The sequence below is a fragment of the Homo sapiens genome, chromosome 5, assembly GCF_000001405.40.
Source record: "Homo sapiens chromosome 5, GRCh38.p14 Primary Assembly".
NCBI classification, from domain to species: Eukaryota; Metazoa; Chordata; class Mammalia; order Primates; family Hominidae; genus Homo; species Homo sapiens.
The window spans coordinates 173,773,833-173,795,279 of record NC_000005.10 but is presented as its reverse complement, the minus strand read 5'-3'; the positions used below and the strand labels follow the sequence as shown (position 1 = coordinate 173,795,279).

At 47.4% G+C, this 21,447-nt stretch overlaps 2 long non-coding RNA genes across 3 annotated transcripts, besides 8 other annotated features; one reads left to right on the top strand and one right to left on the bottom strand.

Annotated features, from left to right (window-relative positions):
* Positions 1–1,395: 1,395 nt before the first annotated feature.
* LOC107986482 (uncharacterized) lies at positions 1,396–17,004 on the bottom strand. 2 transcript variants are annotated; one of them, XR_001743004.2, is made up of 2 exons: positions 16,839–17,004; positions 1,396–1,600 (listed from the first exon to the last, which is right to left on the bottom strand). It is a non-coding gene; the product is annotated as an uncharacterized LOC107986482 (long non-coding RNA). The 2 variants fall into 2 exon arrangements; XR_001743005.2 differs by lacking the exon at positions 16,839–17,004 and adding an exon at positions 5,605–5,690.
* LINC01485 (long intergenic non-protein coding RNA 1485) lies at positions 4,338–8,490 on the top strand. The gene is made up of 4 exons (NR_108028.1): positions 4,338–4,471; positions 4,553–4,644; positions 7,535–7,591; positions 8,033–8,490. It is a non-coding gene; the product is annotated as a long intergenic non-protein coding RNA 1485 (long non-coding RNA).
* Positions 8,226–8,275: an enhancer, noted in NCBI's record as "active region_23666". NCBI's record gives its function as "activates an Ori minimal core promoter by ATAC-STARR-seq in GM12878 lymphoblastoid cells {active_cell/tissue: GM12878}" and the evidence as "EXISTENCE:reporter gene assay evidence [ECO:0000049][PMID:35858748]".
* Positions 8,346–8,425: an enhancer, noted in NCBI's record as "active region_23665". NCBI's record gives its function as "activates an Ori minimal core promoter by ATAC-STARR-seq in GM12878 lymphoblastoid cells {active_cell/tissue: GM12878}" and the evidence as "EXISTENCE:reporter gene assay evidence [ECO:0000049][PMID:35858748]".
* Positions 12,940–13,084: an enhancer, noted in NCBI's record as "145 bp enhancer 276 fragment used in the MPRA reporter construct; PK_construct_3110". NCBI's record gives its function as "activates an SV40 promoter by MPRA in HepG2 cells {active_cell/tissue: HepG2}" and the evidence as "EXISTENCE:reporter gene assay evidence [ECO:0000049][PMID:23512712]".
* Positions 13,007–13,017: a transcriptional cis regulatory region, noted in NCBI's record as "NFE2L2 motif; enhancer activity is reduced when this motif is scrambled". NCBI's record gives its function as "necessary for full MPRA enhancer 276 activity {active_cell/tissue: HepG2}" and the evidence as "EXISTENCE:site-directed mutagenesis evidence [ECO:0005528][PMID:23512712]".
* Positions 16,215–16,434: an enhancer, noted in NCBI's record as "active region_23664". NCBI's record gives its function as "activates an Ori minimal core promoter by ATAC-STARR-seq in GM12878 lymphoblastoid cells {active_cell/tissue: GM12878}" and the evidence as "EXISTENCE:reporter gene assay evidence [ECO:0000049][PMID:35858748]".
* Positions 16,215–17,510: a biological region, named in NCBI's record as "MED14-independent group 3 enhancer GRCh37_chr5:173204773-173205972".
* Positions 16,260–16,554: an enhancer, noted in NCBI's record as "tiled region #6355; K562 Activating DNase unmatched - State 5:Enh, and HepG2 Activating non-DNase unmatched - State 23:Low". NCBI's record gives its function as "activates a minimal TATA promoter and a strong SV40 promoter by Sharpr-MPRA in K562 cells, with weaker activity in HepG2 cells {active_cell/tissue: K562 | HepG2}" and the evidence as "EXISTENCE:reporter gene assay evidence [ECO:0000049][PMID:27701403]".
* Positions 16,311–17,510: an enhancer, noted in NCBI's record as "MED14-independent group 3 enhancer chr5:173204773-173205972 (GRCh37/hg19 assembly coordinates)". NCBI's record gives its function as "activates an origin of replication core promoter dependent on BRD2, BRD4, P300/CBP and CDK7 cofactors, and independent of MED14, by STARR-seq in HCT116 cells {active_cell/tissue: HCT116}" and the evidence as "EXISTENCE:reporter gene assay evidence [ECO:0000049][PMID:35650434]".

Below are 21,447 nucleotides of genomic sequence, written 5' to 3'. Positions count from 1 at the left end.
GGAACTGGACCAGCAGGAGCCTTCCTGCTCCAGGATGTCCCCGGAAGGGTGGTGAGGTCCCTGCTTAGAGCAGTCCCGGCAAGTCGTTCACAGGGGCTGAATGCAAGCTCCGTATCACCTGCTGCTCACCACAGCTCACAACAGCCCCGTTATGAGGACACTGAGGCTCAAAGATGAAAGTGATTTGCCGGGGGCCGCCGGGGCAATGTGCACCTGAATGGGGATCAGGCTGACTCCTTGACTTGGGCTCTGACCACCTACCCCATGCACAGATGCAAATGAGCAGGACACACTCTTGACCTTCAGGAGCACCTGGGGTGGGGGTTGTGGGGCTGGCAGAGTGTGGCTGGAGGCCAGCCCTGAAGAAACCATTGAAACCCAGGGGCCCACACACCCCTGGGAAGGAAGCAAAACCAGGGGCAAGTGACCTCTCTCTCGGCATAGCAAAGTCTCTGGGTTCCCTTTGACCTTCAAAACCTCCCTATAATACAGGCAGGACGAGGGTCATTAAATCTGATTCACAGGATGGCAAAATGAGGGTCAGAGAAGTTGGCGGGTGGCCTTGGGAGCCACTCACAAAGACTAGATGGGGAACCAACTTTCCCAGCCTCCTTCCTAACCACCCTTCTCCCCACTGTCCTGTGGGGGAAACCCTGTGCCAGAGGGTCAGTCAACACTTGGTTCCCAAACACACTCTTCGTTATCCAGCTGCCTGGCCTCTGTTACCCTTGCCTGAATGCCCTTTCCCCACCCCAAACTCCGCTACTGCAGGGCCCAGCCCAGATCTCACCTCCTCTCCAAACTTTCCCAGGTCTCCTCTGAGCGAATTGCTCCATCGACCTCAAAGTCTTTCTCTCTATATCATACTATGATTTAGTACCTTTTAAAATAGGAACACAAGTGCCTGGCACAATGCCTGGCCCATCGTAGAGCCCGAGGCAGTATTCTCTGGAATGAAGTGGTACTCAGCAAAGTTTGGTGTAAAGAACGTGTGAATGAGTGAATGAACAAATCAATGGGTCTCTTGCCTACATTTCACTGCTGTTAAGGGGATTCATTTCCATGAAGTAACCTCCAAAGCTCCCAGCACAGAGCTGGGCACAGAGTGGGTGGCTAGTCAGTGCTCGCTGGCATGAGTTGGTTTGAGGCAATGCTGTCTTCTAGGCCACACCTAGCCTAGACTTCCTGACTGGGCCAAATGCCAGCATGAAGGCCCCAGTAGGCATAGCGCCGGGGAGCTGCCTACGGATCTCCCAAAAGGAGCAAAGTCTGCGGCCCTGCCCACCTGCCCACCCTGTCCTGCTAGCTCAGGTGCAGTCCATATTGCCCCAGCCTCCTTCCTGGGCATGCAGTCTGGGGAAGAAAAAGGAGGAGGAAAAATCAGGTTAAACCATATGGCAAAGCTGTTCTTTTAATCAGCAGTCATGGAGCCCTGGAGCGGGGGCCAGGAGACATGGTTGTGAAGCAGGCCACAACAGCTAGTGGACAGGGGCAAAGGCCCTGGCGTCTTCAGGATCTGGGTTCAAATCCTAGCCTGTGGGCTTCAGCTGTCGTGATGCCGGACAAAGCCCACTCCCTCTCTGAGGCTCGGATTCCTCACCTGTAAAATGCAATAACAGTAACTTGCCACATGCTGGTCTGCAGACAAAAACTGACTTGGGATAGGTTCTTACCCTATGCAACATAAACTAATGACAAATTACTGTATCTCCATATGTATGTGTATATATGTCAACATAATAGGTCACGAATTGCCCTCCCTTAAGAAGGATTGGCCCTTATTCTGTGATTATATTCTTTCTTTATTATTATTCTATTTTTATTACAGAAACAGGGTCTCACTCTATTGCCCAGACTGGAGTGCAGTGGCATAATCACAGCTCACTGCAGCCTTGAACTCCTGAGCTCAAGCGATCCTCCCACCTCAGCCTGTAGCTGGGACCATAGGCACACACCGCCATGCCTGGCTAATTTATGCTTTTTAGCGACAGTCTTGAACTCCTGGCCTCAAGCAATCCTCCTGCCTCGGCCTCCCAGTGCTGGGATTGTAGGCATGTGCCACCTCACCTGGTCCCTTCTTTGATGATTATTTTTTCAGTGGAAAGGACTAAGGGCCTTTGAGCTGTTGTTCCCTCTGCCTAGAGTCCTCCCCCACCCACCCCCACCCACAAGACTCACTGCCTCACTAGCTTCAGAACTTAACTCACACGTCTCCTTTTCAAGGACACCTTCCCTGATCACCCTATTGGAAATTGCCATCCACCCACAGTGTGCCTTTCCCCCTTGCCTGACCTGTTTTTCCTCCATAGCACTTAGCCCATCTGACCTATGATTTAGTTCCTGCTTGGGCCACTGTCTGACTCTTCCCAAGAGGGCAGGGATTTTTGTCTGTCTTGTTCACAGCTGTATCCCAAGGCTTGAAAGAATGCCTGGCACAGAGCAGACCCTCGATAAGTATTTGTCAACTGAATAAATAATTGAGTGGATATTTGCTTTATAATGTCTTTCCATGGCAAAATAAAAAGTGAGCAGCCCTATGTCACCTCCCAAAATTGAGGTCTTGGAAAGGAGAGGATTTCACTGGTCTATGAGGTCCTTACATTACTGAGAAAATGGAGGTAAAAAAAATGCAACATGGACAGGCGCGATGGCTCACGCCTGCAATCCCAGCACTTTGGGAGGCCAAGGCGTGTGGCTCACAAGGTCAGGAGATCGAAACCATCCTGGCCAACAGGGTGAAACCCCACCTCTATTAAAAATACAAAAAAAGAAAAAAAAAACTAGCTGGGCATGGTGCTGCACACCTGTAGTCCCAGCTACTGGGGAGGCTGAGGCAGGAGAATCATTTGAACCTGGGAGGTAGAGGTTGCAGTGAGCCAAGATCGCACCATTGCATTCCAGCCTGGTGACAGAGCGAGACTTGATCTAAAAAAAAAAAAAAAAAAAAAGCAACACGTATTATGGCACCTGGAAAAACTCACTGAACAGTAATAATTATTCTCCTCCTCCTCTGGTCCCCTTCCTCTCCCCACATTCAGTGTAAGGCCTTATCTGTGTCCAAACACTGCAGAACTTACGGGCCCATACACCAGCTTTTCCCTGCACTAAGCCAGCAGCCCTCTGTCCTCTCATTTTGCTTCATTCATTGATTTTCTTTAAAGATCCTGATGACAGACCTGGCTTGGGAGAGCCAGCCAGATCTGTGAATGGGTCTGATGGAGGCCTGTCCTGCCTGGAAGACCTGGACACTGGTATAGGTGAGCCTGGTCAGGACTCCACAGCGTTCATGATCCCAGGTCACAGGTGAAAGAAATAAAAGGTTTGCATGCGTTTGCTTGCTTTTCAGTTCCAGGCCTGCTGCTGAGGGAAGTCCAGGTGTCAAATACTAAGGCTAACTGTAGCCCTGGAGGTGCTGGCACCAGGCAGAAAGGTTTTACAAAGCTGATGACCCATATCCACTGGCCTTAGGAAGGACAGGACCAGCTTTAGGACCCTGGGCCAGAGCCAGAAGGAAGCACAGAGACTAAATTGGTTGACTCTGGGAAAGACTAAGGGCCAGAAACGTTGTGGGCCTTACTTCAGATCTCACTTGGAAATAGCAAAATAAAAAAGCTGATTTCCTGCCGGGTGTGGTGGCTCACATCTATAATGCCAGCACTTTGGGAGGCTGAGGCAGGCAGGTCATTGCAGGTGAGGCATTCAAGACCAGCCTGTCCAGCACGGTGAAAGCTCGTCTCTACTAAAAGTACAAAAAAAAAAAATTAGCAGGGTGTGGTGGCGTGCACCTGTAATCCCAGCTACTCAGGAGGCTGAGGCAGGAGAATCATTTGAATCCAGAGGCAGAGGTTGCAGCGAGCCAAGATTTTGCCACTGCACTCAGCCTGGGTGACAGAGCTAGACTCAGTCTCAAAAAATAAATAAATAAATAAATTAATTAATTAATTAATTAATTAAAACCCTAATATTCTTGCATCTCCAATTCCCTGTCCAGCACTCTCTGATCAGGGTAAGAGGGGCTCCAGCCCTGGGCCCTGCATTTTAGAAGGTCTTGCTTAGACACTGCCCCTCCCTGCGAGTGAGGAGTCTTGGGGAACAAAGGGCTGTGCCCAGTTGGAACTCACATGCCTCCCTTCCAGAGGACGCTCTGGATTCCCAGGACCCTGGGGTTCCCCGTCCAAATGACCATGCCCACTTCTGAGGCCTCCTGGACCTCTCCCATTTTCCCTAGTGTGAACCACATGGCCAGTGGGTGCTCCAGCCCTGAAGGCTGGACAAAGGGCAGCTGCTTTGTGGGACCCGGGTAGAGCTTGGCCACGTGGGCCGAGTGCCCGGTTTCTGTTTTTCTCCCGGTGCAGGAAAACATGAAGAACGGGGAAAGTAGCTGCCGCATGCCAATGTGAAACTCCGAGGAGTCTAGCCATTCTGATCTGGCCTTCCAGGTCATTAGGAGGCTCTGCCATCGTGTGAGGAGGTATGCTATATTTTATCTAGCAGTTTGTTAGCTTGCTTTAAAACTTTTAATACTTAGACATTTGGTTTGTGACCCTGCCAGGGAAAGCCTGCTGTCTGGAGAGCACACTGGTCTCCAGCGTGGGGAGAGAGAGCACTTTCGGGCTTTGCTGAGGAGGGTCTTCAGAAAAAAGAGTAAGTTGGCATCTCCTCGCACAGGTGCTTGGCTTGCCAGACCTAGGGGCATTCTCACATCACCTTTTCAGCTGAGGAAACTGAAAGTCCCAAGGTCACGCAGCTGGGAATATATGACCAAACGGCCTTCACCTTCCCCTAAATGATGTTTCAAATGACAAAATAAGGGGACAAGGAGAGATGGTTTTGTCTTTCTTCTGGGGGCGCCTTCAGCACCTGCAGGCTTTCCTTCCTGCGCATCTGCCTGGCCACTTTGTCCAGCCAGCCCAGGTGTGCAGGGGCTGCGTGTCTTTCCACCTGGCGGCTGCAACAGTCCAAACCTCCACTGTTGATTTGACTTCCTAGAAACGAGCCTGATTTGGGGGCTCTGGGGTGAGAATGCAGGAAATATTGGGATGTGGTTTCCCAGAAAGTCACACATCCCTTTAGCTTTCCCAGAAAGTGCCGAGTCCTTGCTAAGACGATTTCCTATGGAGGGAGACACTGGGTCTGCATGAGTTTCTGTTTAATTGTTTTAGAGAAAATGATCTGGACCAGAGGGAATGAGTCTGGACCAGACCTCGACACTGCCCCAATGAAAGAACTTGAGAACACTGGTCCCGTCTTCCCCTCTAATCTCCCCTCTTTCCATCGCCTCTCCCGGTGCCCTGGGCTCCACTTACAGGCCCCTGAGCAACCACTGCATTTTTGCACATGCTGCTTCCACCCAGGATGGATGGCTTTTCCCTCCTTTCTTCACCCCACCAGCTTTCTCCTTCAGGTGCCAGCTTAGTCCCTGGCTCCTTGGGTCCCTCCCACTTGTCCCCCGGCTGTAGCTTTCATGCCTCCTCTGTACTTCCCAAGCTCTAGAGTGTCCTTCTATAAACAGACTCTGTGTACCGTACTGTGGGCTGATTGCTACCTGTCTGTCTCTTGTCATTGCTGGCAAGCAATTTGGGGTAGTGATTACGTTTTATTCACCTCTCTGTTCCAGTGTGCAGCTCGGACATGGAGGGCAGAAGGTGCTCAGGAAGGATCTTCTGCATGCAGGAGCCTCCTCTCTCGAAGGGTGTTCTCCAATCATGAGCTTATTTGCTGTTTACATGCCCGAGGAGGACTGACCTTAGCAGCTATGATGACCTCATTTATCACTGTGGATAAGCACTTGGCCAGGGTCTCAGCCAGCACCCCAGGCCCAGCCTCCTGGTTTACTCATTTCTGGGGGTGGTGGCATCTGCCCACTGTCCTGAACTTTCCTCTGCTTGGGTAGGGACAGGGAGCCCCAGCAGCACTTGTTCCAGGATGACCCAGCAAATTGCAAGGTGGCATTTGGCCTTTTCCTCAGCAATTGCCAGACTTTGTCCCAGGGTGAGGAGGAAGCCAATGGAAGAGCTGGGGTGAGGAGATCAAAGACCTTTCCAGAGATTCAGGCAGGGGCCCAAACCAAGGGCATTTCCAGGCGGGCACTGGGACCAGCCCCAGGGACACGCCAACGCACTGCTGGGGCCAAGGGGAAAGGTTGGTTTCAAAACCACATGTGCGGCAGCCTCACCACTGAGTCATGCTTGTGAGGCCTGCTGGAGACCAAAGACAGGGGCTACAAGCTCAAAACCGCCTGGTTAGTGCTGACTCTATTGATTTCCTGGCCTTCCACTTCCAAACCTTCCTTGGATGGCTAAACTCCTTCTGGAAGACACACCTGTTTTTTATATTTGCCTGGTATACCTCACTTCTTTGAGTGACAGCACCCCAGAGATCCCCTTCTCCACTCTCACTCTTTGTAGTTAAGGTGAGGTTGGATTCTCTCCTCTCTGCACCCCTCAACCCCCCTACCCCCAGCACTAAGGACCCAGGCTCAGCCAATCAGAATATCTCTCATGCCCATCATGGGCTCTAGGATGGGAGCATGATGGAAGAGTGGCCATTGAGGATCAGTTCCAAGACTTTTGTGAGAAATGCGGGGGAAGAGACCCTCTCTTTTCCTATAGGGATTGCTCACTGTGCAAATATGCCAGCCTGGAACAGCTGGGGCCTCCATGTGCACAGTGGAGAATCAGAGAATCAGGTCACCCCACAGGAAAGCAGGACCATAATGGGGTACTAGGCAGAGACCTAGCCTCCTGGCCATGCACCTCTGAGCTGTGTGGACTGATTCTTTTTTGCTTAAGCATGCTTTTGTTTTCATTTCATTTATTTATTTATTTTCAGACACAGTCTTGCTCTGTTGTCCAGGCTGGACTGCAGTGGTGTGATTTCAATCTCAGCTCACTGCAACCTCTGCCTCCCCGGTTCAAGTGAGTCTTCTGCCTCAGCCTCCTGAGTAGCTGAAACTACAGGCATGTGCCACCACGCCAGGCTAATTTTTGTATTTTTAGTAGAGATAGGGTTTCACCATATTGGCCAGGCTGGTCTTGAACTCCTGACCTTGTGATCCACCCGCCTCAGCCTCCCAAAGTGCTGGGATTACAGGTGTGAGCCACCGCGCCCGGTGAAGCATGCTTTCAAGTGGGGTTTCTGTCAATTGCAAACAGAAGATTTCTGACTAATATTCCCTGGATAATATTTATTCTACCTTCCTCTCCATTCTTACTCTCTGCCATAGCTTAAGCCTCATCATCCACTTCCACATCTCCTACCTTAGATGATTTTAGCAGACTACCAACTCAGAATTACAATGGAATCACTGCAGTAGATGACTAACTGCTATTTGCATGCATGTTTTATTTGTGAATGTGACCTTACAAATCGATTTTCATGTCTCACTGATGAAGGCACCAAGCGTCAGGGAGACAAGGGACTTGTGTGCAGCCAGTAAGTAGCAGAGCTAAAATTTGAGCTCAGATCGTCTGACTCCAAAATGCATGCTCTTTCTCCACAGCTCACTGTCATGTCTTGCTTCTTTCAACTCTAGGTACTGCCAACAAGAAGGCCCAATCAAGATCCTCCCACAACAAGAGCAGATTGTGAGGTAAGAACACTTTGATCCCTTGGGAACACAGAGCCATGAGTGTGGCCAGACTCTCTCAAATATCTTAGACTTCATGGCTATAAGGCACAAATTCTAGTTTTGGTTTATCCTTTTCCTCCTGCCCTCATCTGCCCTCCACTCAATTTCCAAGCTCATCTTTAATTTTGTTGCCATGATCTCATGGGCCAGGCTTGGGTGACATGCCCATCACTGAGCAATCTCTCAGGTCAGGGGATGCGCTGTCCAATGGGGTTGTCTTGGGTCATATGCCCTGCCGTGCATTTCGGTCAGTCCTATTCAAGCCAGATGGATGGAAAGTGGGGAAGATGGTTCTCCAGAAGCAAATAAGGTGCTGTTACCAGGAAGGGTGGCCACTCCTTCTCACTCCCTTGCCTAAGACCTCAGCCACCCAAAGCAACAATCGTCTATTTGGTTCTATAGCGTGGCAAGCTCTATGCTGAGCACTGGAAGGACAAAGAGAGATTGGGCACAGACTTCTCACTGATCCAGGTGATGAAGAGCTCACATCTGAGAGGATGTGACCATGGATGACCCACCAGAATGTCATGGGATCCAGCTACAGCCAAGGAAGCACAGAGCACCGTGGGAGCGATTTATTGTGCTTGGGGATGGGGAAGGGGACATGGGAGGAGCCATATTGAGAAAGTAGCATGGGTACTTGGCTTCACAGAGTGTGGCAGCTTTCATCAGGAAGTGATGGTGGGGGAACAGCGTCTCTGGCGGAGGGAAGCAGCAGGTGCAGAGGTGCAGAGGTGTGAGGAGTCTGTCACATTCTGGGAAGGGAGTATGGTTGGGTGACAATGCAAGACAGAGAAAGCAAGGAGGGAAGGAGGGGCCTAGCCTGAGGAATAAAGAATAATAAAAGCAGGAAAACAATTGCTGAGAGTTTGGATACCTTTTTCTGGCCTTTCATCTAAGCTTTGCTAGCCAGCCAAGAGAAAGCTGGCACTTCCCCTCCCCGAGCTTCCCTCGAAAGAGGAAGGGTTAATTCAGAACAAGACAAAGAAATGTCTGGGGACCTAAGTGTGAAAAGGAGAGACAGAGTCAGCCTGAAACCTGAAACTTGAGCAAGTGAAGGGGGCTGGAGAGGAGAAGAGCAAGCCAAGGAAGGGACCAGTCAGTAGCTGAATCCAATAAAAACTGCCACGTCTAGCCCTGCACTGGGCCTTGGGGCTATGGAGACAATAAGACAGGGCTCCTGGCCCTATGGCTCACAGGCTGCCTGGAGAGGCGCACAAAGACCCAGGCAAAGACAAAAGAGTGGGCTGCGTTCAGTGGCAGCAGAAGGCCAAGGGGCTTAGGGAGCACCAGGAGCATCTGCTCCAACACAGGGTCTAGGAAAAGCCTTCCTAGAAGACGGGACATTGGAGCTGGGCCTTAAAAAATGAATTGGAGTTTGCTACTTAGACACTGAGGAGCTCTTAATTCCCTGTATCCCACCTTGCACTGTGACTGACCACACTGTACTGCCGGCCTACGTCTCTCCTTTCTGCTGAGCTCCATTGGGTGGAAACTGCAGCTGGCTGGTTCATTGAGTTATCTCCCATGCCTAAAAGGGCACCTGACATATAGAAGATGCTCAATTAATGCATGTGAGAGAACAGCCTGTGCAAAGGCCCAGCAGAGGGTGTAGACATGGAGCTTGGTACAAGGTGGGTGGAGCAGGTAGTGTCCAGGGCAGGAATGACCGTTTGCCTATCTGAGTAGTTTGGATTTTATCTTCTGAAAGGGGAGGAAGGTGATCAAATCTGCATTCATTCATTTATTTGACAAACACTTATCAAACACCTGCTATGAGCCAGGTATTGTATTAGGCCTTACAGATAACATGGGAACAAGACCAACTCCTTCTCCACGTGGAGCTTACATTCTCATGGGAAAATAGAGACCAACTTGTGAGCAATTCAAAAATCATACCTTGTCAGCCAGTGATGAAGTACTAGGTAGAAAAATAAAGACTGGTAAGAAGCTAAAGTGATGGTGGAAGACAAGGGAGGCTCAGTGGTAGGTGGGAGTGTCTCAGATAGCATTGTCAGCTGCAGGGAACAGAAAACCTGCTCACAGCCGCCCAACATGTAGCAGGTTATTTATATCTTGCAACAGGAAGCCCGAGAGGTAAGTAGTCCCAGGCTGGCTGGAGACTCCGTGGTGATATGAAGAAACCAGGCTCCTCCTTCCTGGTCCACCTCCTCAGCGTTATCTCTGATGCTTTAACTCTTTTTTCTTTGAAATTGACAAATAATAATTATACATATTCATGGGGTACATAGTGATGTTTTGGTACATATAATATATAGTGATCAGATCAGGGTAATTAGCATATCCATCGTCTCAAACCTTTATCATATCTTTGTGTTGGGAGCATTCAATATCCTCCATCTAGCTATTTGAAACTATATACTATATTATATATTAACTATAGTCATCCTGCAATGCTATAGAACACTACAACTTCTTCGTCCTATCTAGCCATCTAGTAATTTTGTATCCTTTAACAAATCTCTATCCTTTCCTTCTCCCTATTTTTTAATGAAGAGAATGAAACCGTGTATGTTATATTTAAAAGTATATAATTGAAAACACTGAAGTTGATATCTTGCTGACATGTGAATTTCTCCATCCAGAAATATTCAGAAAAGCCTGATGCTCACAAAAATAACCAGCATGAGCCTTCTGGTGTGAAAAATAGGGGAAAGGGGCCAAAGCCACATCTGGGTGGATGTGATGTGTGATTGGATGGCACCTGATAGGTATATGTGTGTGCGTGCTTGTGTGTGTGTGTGTGTGTGCACACATCCATGCAAGGTGACTGATTCCTATACTAAACTAATTCAGTGGAAGCAAGCCAGAAACGACCATGAGAATATAGCTCCCATCTCTACTCATCTCCCACAGAGAAACATGGAAACGTTTTAGGAAGAGCATCTGGCTTCCTAAAGCTCATAGAATGGGAGCCGTGGGACAAGTCAACAGCTGCTGAGACATGGTTCTCAAAAGGATTGCTCTGGGACAGTGGGGAAGATGGATTTGGAAAGCAAAGTCTATAGGCAGGGAAATAAAACAGGCCTGGAAGAGATGGGGAAGCCTGGACTAGGGCAGGTGATGGGGATGAAGAAGAGGGGGCAGCTTTGAGAATGATGGGGGGAGAATGCTGGAACAGTGGCAGCTGAACAAACATAGAAGTGAAGGATGGCCACGGGGGTAATGGGACCCAAATGCAGCAGCAAGACTTGGCAAAGCTGCTTCTAGTCACCGATAATGTCAGGCTCTCCGTCAGAGAGTTGCTTCTAAGAGGCAAGCCCCAAGAGTTCTCCAAGGAGTCCCTGCAGGGGCCTGAACTTCTTTTGTTGGTGATGCCAGCCAGTGATGGAATCCAAATACTCAGTACTCGGCACTCATTACTGCCTTGGGAGCCAATGGCACATTTGTTAAAAAATAAAAACACATAGCAGCAGCTCTTTGGGGAGTTTGGGGAAAGGCATATCAAGCAACCTGGGTCGCTGGACACTTGAGTGAATGGGTCATGGTTAGTGGAGACTCCTTTGGGAGGTGGTGTAAATCACTCTAAAAAACTTAGGGCTATGACTATACCTTAGCAAGAAAGGGAGGTGGATTAGTTCCAGAAAGGTTTCTTTCCCATGCCTGCCTGCCTTTCTTTCTTTCCTTTCTTTCCTTTCTCTCTCTCTTCCTTCCTTCCTTCCTTCCTCTCTTTCTTTCTTTCTTTTTCTTTCTTTCCTTCCTTCCTTCCTTCCTTCCTTCCTTCCTTCCTTCCTTCCTTCCTTCCTTCCTTCCTTCCTTCTTTCTTTCTTTCTTTCTTTCTTTCTTTCTTTCTTTCTTTCTTTCTTTCTTTCTTTCTTTCTTTCTTTGACAGTGTCTTGCTCTGTCATCCAGGCTGAAGTGCAGTGGCATGAACATGGCTAACTGTAGCCTTGACATCCTGGGCTCAAGGGATCCTCCCGCTCCAGGCTCCCATGTAACTGGGACCACAGACATGCACCACCACATCTGGCTAATTTTTTTATTTTTTTGCAGAGACAGGGTCTTGCTTTGTTGCCCAGGCAGGTCTTGAACTCCTTGGCTCAAGCGATACTCCCACCTCAGCCTCTCAAATTGCTGAGATAACAGGCATGAGCCTCTGTGCCTCACTGCATTTATTTTTCTTTAATGTAGCTAGTTAAACTGGTTTCAACTGATCAAATATCCACCCTTCCTGGGCCAGGCACTGTTCTCAGTCCTGGGGAACAAAACAGGCAAAAATCTTTCCTCTCAGAATTTAGATTTCTAGTAGGAGGAGACACCCCAAATCAAAAATAAACACTGTAGTCTATTTATGGTATGCTGGTTCCTTTTGTTTTTCTGTGTTAAGCAGGGCTCTTAGAACATATTAGAGCTAAATGTTGTGCACATACATTCTTTATTACATAATAAAGCATGTAATAAATAAGGATTTACACTTATAAATTATTCTACTTGTTTCTTCTTTAACCACAAAATCAAAAGGAGATTTGGCCTATGACACATGCCAGTCAATCAGTAATAGGCAACCTTTTGGGCTTCTGTTGCTCCTATATTTTTCATTCAAGCATTTGAGAGAATTCAAGATGGATGCATTGAGGGCTCAGAAGCGAAATGTGCAAAGATCAGTCCATTGACAAACAAGACCCAGGGATCTCAAATCATAGACTCAGGTGGTACACATTCTCCACTACCTGCCTGAAACTACCTGTTCTATGCTCCAGACAAAGCTGGTTGTCATGGGTACACATGCATACGTCTCATGGAAAAGATATCATGAAGTGTACAGCTTTCTGTAGGTGACAAAGCATTTTTGCGTTTGTTATCTGACTCCACACTCCACATAAGGTTGCCAGATTTAACAAATAAAGTCATGAGACACACAGTTAAATTTGAGCAATATTTGGGACATGCGTACTGAAAAAAATCATCATTTATCTGACATTCAAATGTAACTGGACTTTCTGTATTTTATCTGGCAACCCTAACTCTACAACCCTCAGAAGTAGACAATATTAGCGTCCCCATTTGATCACTGAGGCTGAGAAAGTAAATTGCCTAAAGTCAATAAAGGATCAAAGGGTGAAAGAACTGCCCCTTTGCCCATTCACTGGTTGCTGGGAGAATGATCACTCCTGGATCTCATCTTCAGGCATCAGATGTGCTGGGGCCAAGTGTGGGGATCTCAGGGCAAGGAGGGAGGGGAGAAATGGAGGGACTGGCCATCATGAGTAGTGGACTACAAAGACTTCATAACAGAGGGCAGGGGCAGGGAGGTGTTGATGCTTTGTTGCAACTTAGTTTTGGTTTGCTTACTTTACCAGGGCCTGGGCACCCCAGCCAACAGGCTGGAAATGCAGGAAGCCATCTGGAGCCATGTGCTGAGTCACAGGGCCCAGAGAAAAACAAGAACATCGTGACGTCAGAGCAGGGGTGGGGAGAAATCTCCCTCGAGATCTCCGTGGGCACCGGAAATAGAAACTGCTCCCTTTGAAGCATCTATTAGAAGATCCAAGTCTCTAACAGATCACCATGAGATTTCAATTCAGTTCCTATTAAGCACCAACTGAACGCATGTGAGAATGTCAGGGAATCAGTTGGTGAAGAGGCAACCGTTTTAATTTAATTTTATTTATTTGAACAGAGTAAGCCTCTGTTCAATCCTGACTCATCTTCTTTCTTCTCTTACTACCCATTTGCCCTTGAGCAGTTCACTTAAACTTTCTGACCCCATTTCCTCTTCAGTAATAATAATTCTTGTCTCATTGAGATAGTGTGAGGGCTTAAAGGGAATTACATTTTTCAAAAGCATCTTGCACAGATCTGGCACAGTCAGTGGTAGGTCTTCTTAGCATAAGGATATAAAAAGATCTTTCTGTAAGGTTGGTGTGGGGATTAAATTGGATGACATATCTTTACTTTCAAGCAAGCTCTGGACTGAGCTCTTACTAAGGTTTCAGCTAAGGAGAGAGATTTCTTTCCTCCTCTCTAGACACTGGGGTAACTGGTTCTGGTCCCCCAGTGTTCTGGTTAGTAGAACTAAATACGTACACGCACAATGAATGTTTACACAACATCCGCTCATTCCATTCCACAAATATTTCTTTTAACATTGTACACATTACTGGCTCAGCCTTTGTAGAGGTCTAGAAAAACAAAATTAGGATGAATATCCCCATTTTGTTGCTGTTTTTTGTTTTTGTTTTTGTTTTTTAAGACGGAGTTTCACTCTGTCACCGAGGCTGAAGTGCAGTGGTGCCATCTCGGCTCACTGCAAGCTCCACGTCTCGGGTTCAAGCAATTCTCCTGCCTCAGCCTCCCAAATAGCTGGGACCACAGGGGCACACCATCTCGGGTGGCTAATTTTTTGTATTTTAGTAGAGACGATGTTTCACCATGTTGCCAAAGCTAATCACGAACTCCTGAGCTTAGGCAATCTGCCCGCCTCAGCCTCCCAAAGTGCTGGGATTGCAGGCATGAGCCACCGCTCCCGGCCTGCTGCTGATTTTTTAATAATCATTCTGTGGGAGGCACTATGCTAAGTATTTTGCATGCATCGAATTCTTGGAGCAATCTTTTCAAATTCGTGCTATAGTAACCCCCATTTTATAGATGGAGCAACTGAGGCTCAGTAGAGTTGACTGTGCTGCCCAAATGCACAGAACTAGTGGGTGGCAGAGTTGAGGCTCAATCCCAGCCCTGATTATCTCAAAGGTTCTGACTGTCACACTATGCGTGAGCTCCCAGAGAGAGAAAAACACTCAGTTGAAAATTTAGAGTTACTCATGCACAAAGGTATATAAACAACACAAAGTGGTTAGATGGGCAAATGCTGACGGAGAGGCTGGTAATCAGAGTTATGGGCAGTTCTGGGCTGGGAGATCTCCCTGAGAGCTGTACTATGAAAAGGGGCTTTCTAGAAGGTGAAAGTTTAGGTGGGGAGTAAAGCTAGACCTTGAAAAATGATGTGGAACAGGTAACAAAGCAAAGGCACGTTGAGCAGAGGCCCAGATGGTTTGGCCAAATATGGGCTGAGCTTAGTGAAGGTCAGGTAACCAAGGCAAGGTGTGCTTTGGAGAACAAAAGGAGGAAGGTTGAGCTGGCACAGTCTGGCTGGCTGGTATTAGCTTCTTGAATGATAAGCTCTTCAGCCTGGCTGGGGTGACTTCTAACTTCGGAACATCACTGCTTAGGGGATTCCTGTGTATCACACATTGGGCCTGAGCAGCAGAGCTAGGAGTTGTTCCTGTTATTGGAAAGGGAGGAAGTTTCTGCAGAGTAAGTGGGCATGATCTGTCTTGCTGGAGGGCCTCAACCTTTACTCTCCTGGGTAAGAGGAGACAATGATATTTCCATGGTCTTCAGAGCATTCTGCTGAGAAGCCCACAAGCTAAGGGCCATTACAGCAAACTCAGAGATGATACAACCTTTCTGCAGACCATGGTAATATATATGAAGAGGATTAAAACGATGTAACCCTTTGTTCCCTCAATTTTACTGCTAGGAATTAATCCAAGGGAAGTGGTCATGGAGAGATGAGAAAATGTGTGTATGGACAAAGATGGTCACTGTAGAATGTAGTATTAACTTACAAACACAAGAATCAGAAATGTCCCACCTAGTCAGTAATGGGGGCTTAGTTAAAAATTATGATCCAGGCCGGGTGCAGTGGCTCATGGCTGTAATCCCAGCACTTTTGGAGGCTGAGGCAGGCAGATCACCTGAGGTCAGGAATTCGAGCCAATATGGTGAAACCCCGTCTCTACAAAAATTAGCCTGGCATGATGGTGTGTGCCTATAATCCCAGCTATTCAGGAGGCTGAGGCACAAGAATCACTTGAACCTGGGAGGCAGAGGTTGCAGTGAGCAGAGATCGTGCCACTGCACTCCAGCCTGGGTGATAGAGTGAGATTCAGTCTCAAAAAAAAAAAAAAAAAGAAAAGAAAAGAAATTTTGATCCACCCATACAAGGGAATGCTACACTTCCATTCAAAGTCAAGGTGGTCACACCATAGCAGGGAAAAATCAGTTATAAAAACATTAAATATAGTATGATCCTAGCTCACAAGTACATTAATCCAATTCATTCACTTATTAACTATGTAATGAAGATGTGCTGTATGCCAAGCACCATTCTGGGTACTGGGAATATGGACAGGAACAAGCTCAGGGTGGGAAGTTGTTTAGGGAAAGACAGGTAATACATATATGGACTTAAGAATACACAAGATAATTTCTGAGCATGGCACACAATGCCATGAAGAAAGGCATGCAAGATGGACTAGTTTAGTGTGCGTGAAGATGGAGGGACTATCCAAGGAGGTGACATTTCGGCCATGACTTGCACGCTGAAAAAAAAAAAATCCAGTCATGATTTCCAGAGTCATGAAATCCAGAGCATTTCAGGCAAAGAGGCGAAGGCCTTGAGGGGAAATGCCATTGGTGTATTAGGAGGGAAAAAGAAAGAGAAATAATGTGTGAGTAGAGAGAGAAGAGGTAGGAGAGGCAAGCAGGGCCAGATCACACAGACTGAAAGTCAAGGTGAAGTGTTGATAAGGAGTGTGGATTTCCTTCCAAGTGCTGTAGAAAGCTACCGGGTTCTATGTAGGCAATCATCATACAGTTGACCTTCAAACAACACAGGTTTGAACTGCACAGGTCCACTTACAGGTGACTTTTCTTCCACCTCTGCCACCCCTGAGAGAGCAGGACCAACCACTCCTTTTCCTCCTCCTCAGCCTACTCGAGTTGATGATGACAAGGGTGAAGACCTTTATGCTGAGTCACTTCTGCGTAGTGAACGTAAATATACTTTCTCTTCCTTATGATTTTCTCAATAACATTTTCTTTACTCTAGCTTCCTTTATTGTAAGAATACAGTATACAATACATATAACATACAAAATATGTTAATTGACTGTTTATGTTCTCAGCAAGGCTTGCAGTCAACAGTAGGCTATCTGTAGTGTTTTGGGGAGTCAAAAGTTGTATGCAGATTTTCAACTCTGAGGGGGGTCAACACCCCAACTTCCATATCGTTCAGGGTTCAACTCTCTTTATGTATCCGGAAGGAAATACACCAACAGGTTAGTAGAGATTATTAACAAGTAGTGGGGTAATAAACCGTGTTTAAAAATCTGTGTGCTATTCTGTAACTCCTGAACTTTTGTAATTAGAAACAAACAGTAATTTCCATTTTTAAAGAACTCACCAGAGAGCAACATCGACAGATGACAACCATCACCTGGAGCTCCAGTTTGAAGAGGCTTTTCCCTGAGCAATCTCTTTTGATTTTCACGATAACCCTGTGAGTGAAGCCAGACCATTGTCATTAAGACCTCCATTTTGGAGGTGAGGCAATTGAGGCCGGGAGTTGCAAAGAGGCTGAGGCAGGAAATGACAAAACTGGGACAGGAATCAAGGTTCCACAACACTGGTCTAAGCTTCCTGATTTTGTGGCCCAGCCAGGCTAATGGCTGAGTCTGCATCAAATTCACCCAGAGACCCCAGGGCCCTAACAGGAAGTCTACAAGGTTACTCTCCTGCTTCGGGGAGGGCAGGGATGGACCTAGAGCCCCCAGCTGCCGATGACTGGAACAAAAAGAGGGTCTTTCCCACATAGTAGATGCTCAACAAACATTTGTTGAATTAATGCAATAGCTTGCTTTTGGGGGAAATGCCACCTTGGGGAGGATGGTTTTGCTGACTTTACAATTTAGTAGCTGTGCATCCTCCTCTGTCACTCCCCTCCACAAAGTTGGAGTGTAGGCTCTGGAGCCGGAATGTCTGGGCTTGAATCTGCCTCTACCACTGACCACCAGCTGTGACCTACCCTTTCCACCTCAGTTTTCTGATCTGTAAAGTGGGAGTAATAATGATGGTCTCCTTGGGTTACTGTTTGGATTAAATGAATGAATGAAGGCTTTGAAGAGATGTTGGCATACAGTGTGTGCTCCATAAGCGTCAGAGGTTACTAGCATCAGCATGAAAGGGCTGTTGAAAGGGTGAGGTGAGGCTCCTGGCAGCACAGGCAGAGCTGAGCAGGGTCTCAATGGGTGATGGCTACCGCGGCTGTCCTTCTACCCCCATGACTCCCCTTGCTGGTGCCTCAGTGGTTATTCACAGGAAACATACAGAAATGCACTGCACATCATTTTTTAGAGAAGGGACACCCCTATCCACCAGAAGGGTCCTTTGCCAAGTCAAATAATAGACCTGTACTCTCTCATCTCAGGAGGTTTCTGTCTGTTCAAGGTCACGTGAAGAATTTCCTGGCACTTTCCAGTGTCTCTGACTCTAATTCATTTAAAGAGCCACCTTTTAAATTTCAGGCTTGACATTTGCTTAATAACATGTGTGGAGCCTGCTCTGGTGAGCGGCCCCAGGGTCACCAGCCCATCCCTCTGTCCTCCACTCCTGCTTTCAAACTTCAATGGTTTAAGGTCTACCGATAATTTTGCTATCACTGCATATCATGTGGTCTAGTCTTTCCCTCATTATTTTTCCTCAACTTGTCTCCCATTTAAAACTTAAAATACATTTCTTCAAAAGGAAAACTTACTACCATAGATGGAAAGCCAATCCCACCTGCTACAAATAGAAGCTATCCAGAAAAAGATATACCACGAAAATAAAATGATATTATGAAACTCTAGAATATTTAATTCTAGAGGAATAGGGTTGCCTGTGGAAGACTCTGGGCTTGAGGCCTGTTTGATTCCCATTTGAAAGGGAGATTTGGAGAGGTGTTAAAGTTTGAGGGAGGCGTTAAAGACCTATTAGTACCAAAGTGAGATTTTCTTCTTGGTGTAATGACAAGGATTGAAAGAGAATTTTCACAGGAGAAAAACTCTCTTACCACAGGATGCAATCTATTTGTTTCCCTGTCTTTTCACTTTCCCCTACTCCCCAGGGGCAAGGGGCTCCCTATTGTATGATTCAGTTCTTTATTGAGAAGAGTTAAAGAGAGAGCAGCCCAGCCCCAGCTTCTTGCTTATTATATCATGCAAATAAGATTCTTTCCCTGCTTTGAAATGAGGGAGCCGAATTAGAGAGATGTTCTTCTCAGAGGATCTCCAGGCCCTGAAAGTCTGCGAGGCCCCATCCAAAAGTTCATTTGGCTGCTGTCTTGGTCATTCCAGGCTGCCATAGCAGAATACCATAGACTGGGTGGCTTATAAACTACAGAAATTTATTCCTCGCAGTTTTGGAGGCTGGAAGTTGAAGATCAGTCACTGGCAGTTTGGAATCTGACGAGGGTCTGCTTTGTGGTTCACAGACAGCTCCTTCTTGCTGTGCCCTCACATGGCAGAAGAGGCCAGGCAGCTCTCTGGGGTCTCTTTCTAAGGGCACTAATCTCATCAATGGGGCTCCACCCTCATGACCTAATCACCTCCCAAAGGCCTCCCTACTAATACCATTGCCTGGGGGTTCACTTTCAATATAAGACTGGGTTGGGGGCAGGCAGACAAAAACACTGTCGATAGCACCTGCACATAAACGTGTTCTCATCCGCTCAGCAACAGAGTTGAAACCTATCAAGAGGATGGCCCCGTGGCATGGGTTGTGTAGCTGAATCTTCCTAAGGAGTAAAGACGTAGGATCCATCACATACCCACAAATAAATTCACGTTTCCTGGGGGTGGATTTTCTGCTTGTTGAACTGAGCAGATGGCTGTGCTTGAGACGAAAAAGGAAGTTGCTAAACCCTCTCTCTGCCCAGTGCAGAATTTGGAAAGAAACAACCAAATAACCCGCTCACTTCAGGTTCTGTCCCCTGTTTCAGTAGCCCCTGCGGATTCCTCCTGCAGTGGTTTCCTTATCAGAGTCCCTGGGAGGCGCTGCCAATGCATCATTCCTAAATTACTATGTTTTCATATCTCCTCCCTTCTCCTAAATCAGAGGGGACCTGCCTCATCTGGGTGCTGCATGCTGGTTTCTTAGCCTGATGCTCAAGACCTCATGCAGTGTGATTTCAACCTACAATCCTATGGCAGCCCTGGCTGCTGGGATTTCCTTCCTTGAATCTTCTGCTTCTGACAAGCTGGTTACCTGGCACACAGCAGGCATGAAGAAATGTTTTTGCATGAAAGAATATGCCTTCTGCTGTGCTGCAGTTTGCCTCCGTTCATCTCAACATATATTCCTTGAGTGACCGGGACAACTGGTGCTTGAAGACTTCCTATATGCCAGACACTGGTAGGGTGGGCACTGCTCCAATTTGCCCTGGACTTTCCTGATTTTAGCCCTGGAAGCCATGTCTCAGAAATCCCCCACCCCACCCCAGGCAAATTGGGACAGTTGGTCTTCCTAATAAATTGGGCTCCATGCATTCTATTTTCATGGGACTTCCAACATAGAGTAGATGACATTAAACAAATTATCCCACAAAGAAATGCATAATTATAAACCATGGCAGGTGCAGAGGAGAAGTCAACCCTGAGCTGGGCACTGTGGATATGAAGAGAAAAAGACACAGTCAGGCCTTGGCAAAGCATCCTGCTTGTAACTAGGAGAGAGAGGGACACACAGCTTATTTAATGTAAAGTGGTGAGCACAGTGAATCAGAAACCTACACTCTCTTATCCCTGTTCACATTATACTGTTTCTATTTTAATTGGGGTTTCAAACATTGGAAACCCACTCTGGTGAATTAAATAGAGGTGTATTGAAAGGGCTTTGGAAGGAAAAGCTGAAAAATAGGCCTTGGAAGAGAGAGAAACAATTGCTTCTTAGGGAGTTGAGATAGTCAAAAAATTATGCCAGAACAAAAGAACATGCTTTGTTCCACTTCCATTAGAAAAACTGACTCTAGCCATTCAATGCCCTTGGGTTTCTCTGGCCAATATCCTGATTCCAGGAAGAAAGTATATGGTGGCCAAGCTTGGGTCTCATGCCAGCCCCTTGGCCAGTCTAGCAGGGCACCATAATTAGAAATTCCACCAAAACCGCGTGCAGCTGGGCATGGGGACAGGCAGTTGCTATGGGCAATGGAGGGGCGGGAGCTGGGAAGGTGAAGGCCACAGCTGCCTGCTCTCTCCTCTTCAAAAAGGGGCCCAGACATTGCCTTCTCCAGCATCTTTTTCACCATGGCCACTGCCCTTGGAGTGCCTCTCTGCTTGCTTTTGGTCCAGAATATTCTGTTACCATGGATAGCATCAGGCTGACAGCTGTTGTGTCTTATCCAGCCACCCGACTATTATCACCTTGGAGCATGTGCTGTGTCCTTGGGCACAGCTAGTACAATGCCTGGCACAGCAAAGGGACTCCATGAATGTTGCTGAGTACTTTCTGGAGAGTTTCACAGAGCAAGTGGCCATGATGATCCTGCCATCCTTCCCTGGCCCATTGCCCTCCAGCCAAACCAGCCTTCTTCCTGGATCTCAAACACTTTGAGCAGCTTTGCAGCCCGCCTGGCTATTCCTTCATCCCATGTTGTCCGCTTTGCCAGTCTCGTGACTCAGGGGTTCTCAACTGGAGGTGGTTTTGCCCTCCAGGGGAACACCTGGCAATGTCTGGGGGCATTTTTTGGTTGTCACCCTGGAAAATGGGATGCTACTGGCATCTCGTGGGTAAAGGCCAAGGATGCGGCTAAACATCTTATAATGCATAGGCCAACCCCCCAACAAAGAGTTATGGGATCCACAATGTCCACAGTGCCAAGGTCGGGAAAGCCTACAGCAAGCCTCAATCCCCTCAGCCCAGAGACCCTCCCGTTCAGGAAGGCTTCCCTGAGCATCGCCCGTTTCTTTCTCTCTTTTTTTTTTCTTCTTTGAGACAGAGTCTCACTCTGTCACCCAGGCTGGAGTGCAGTGGCGCAA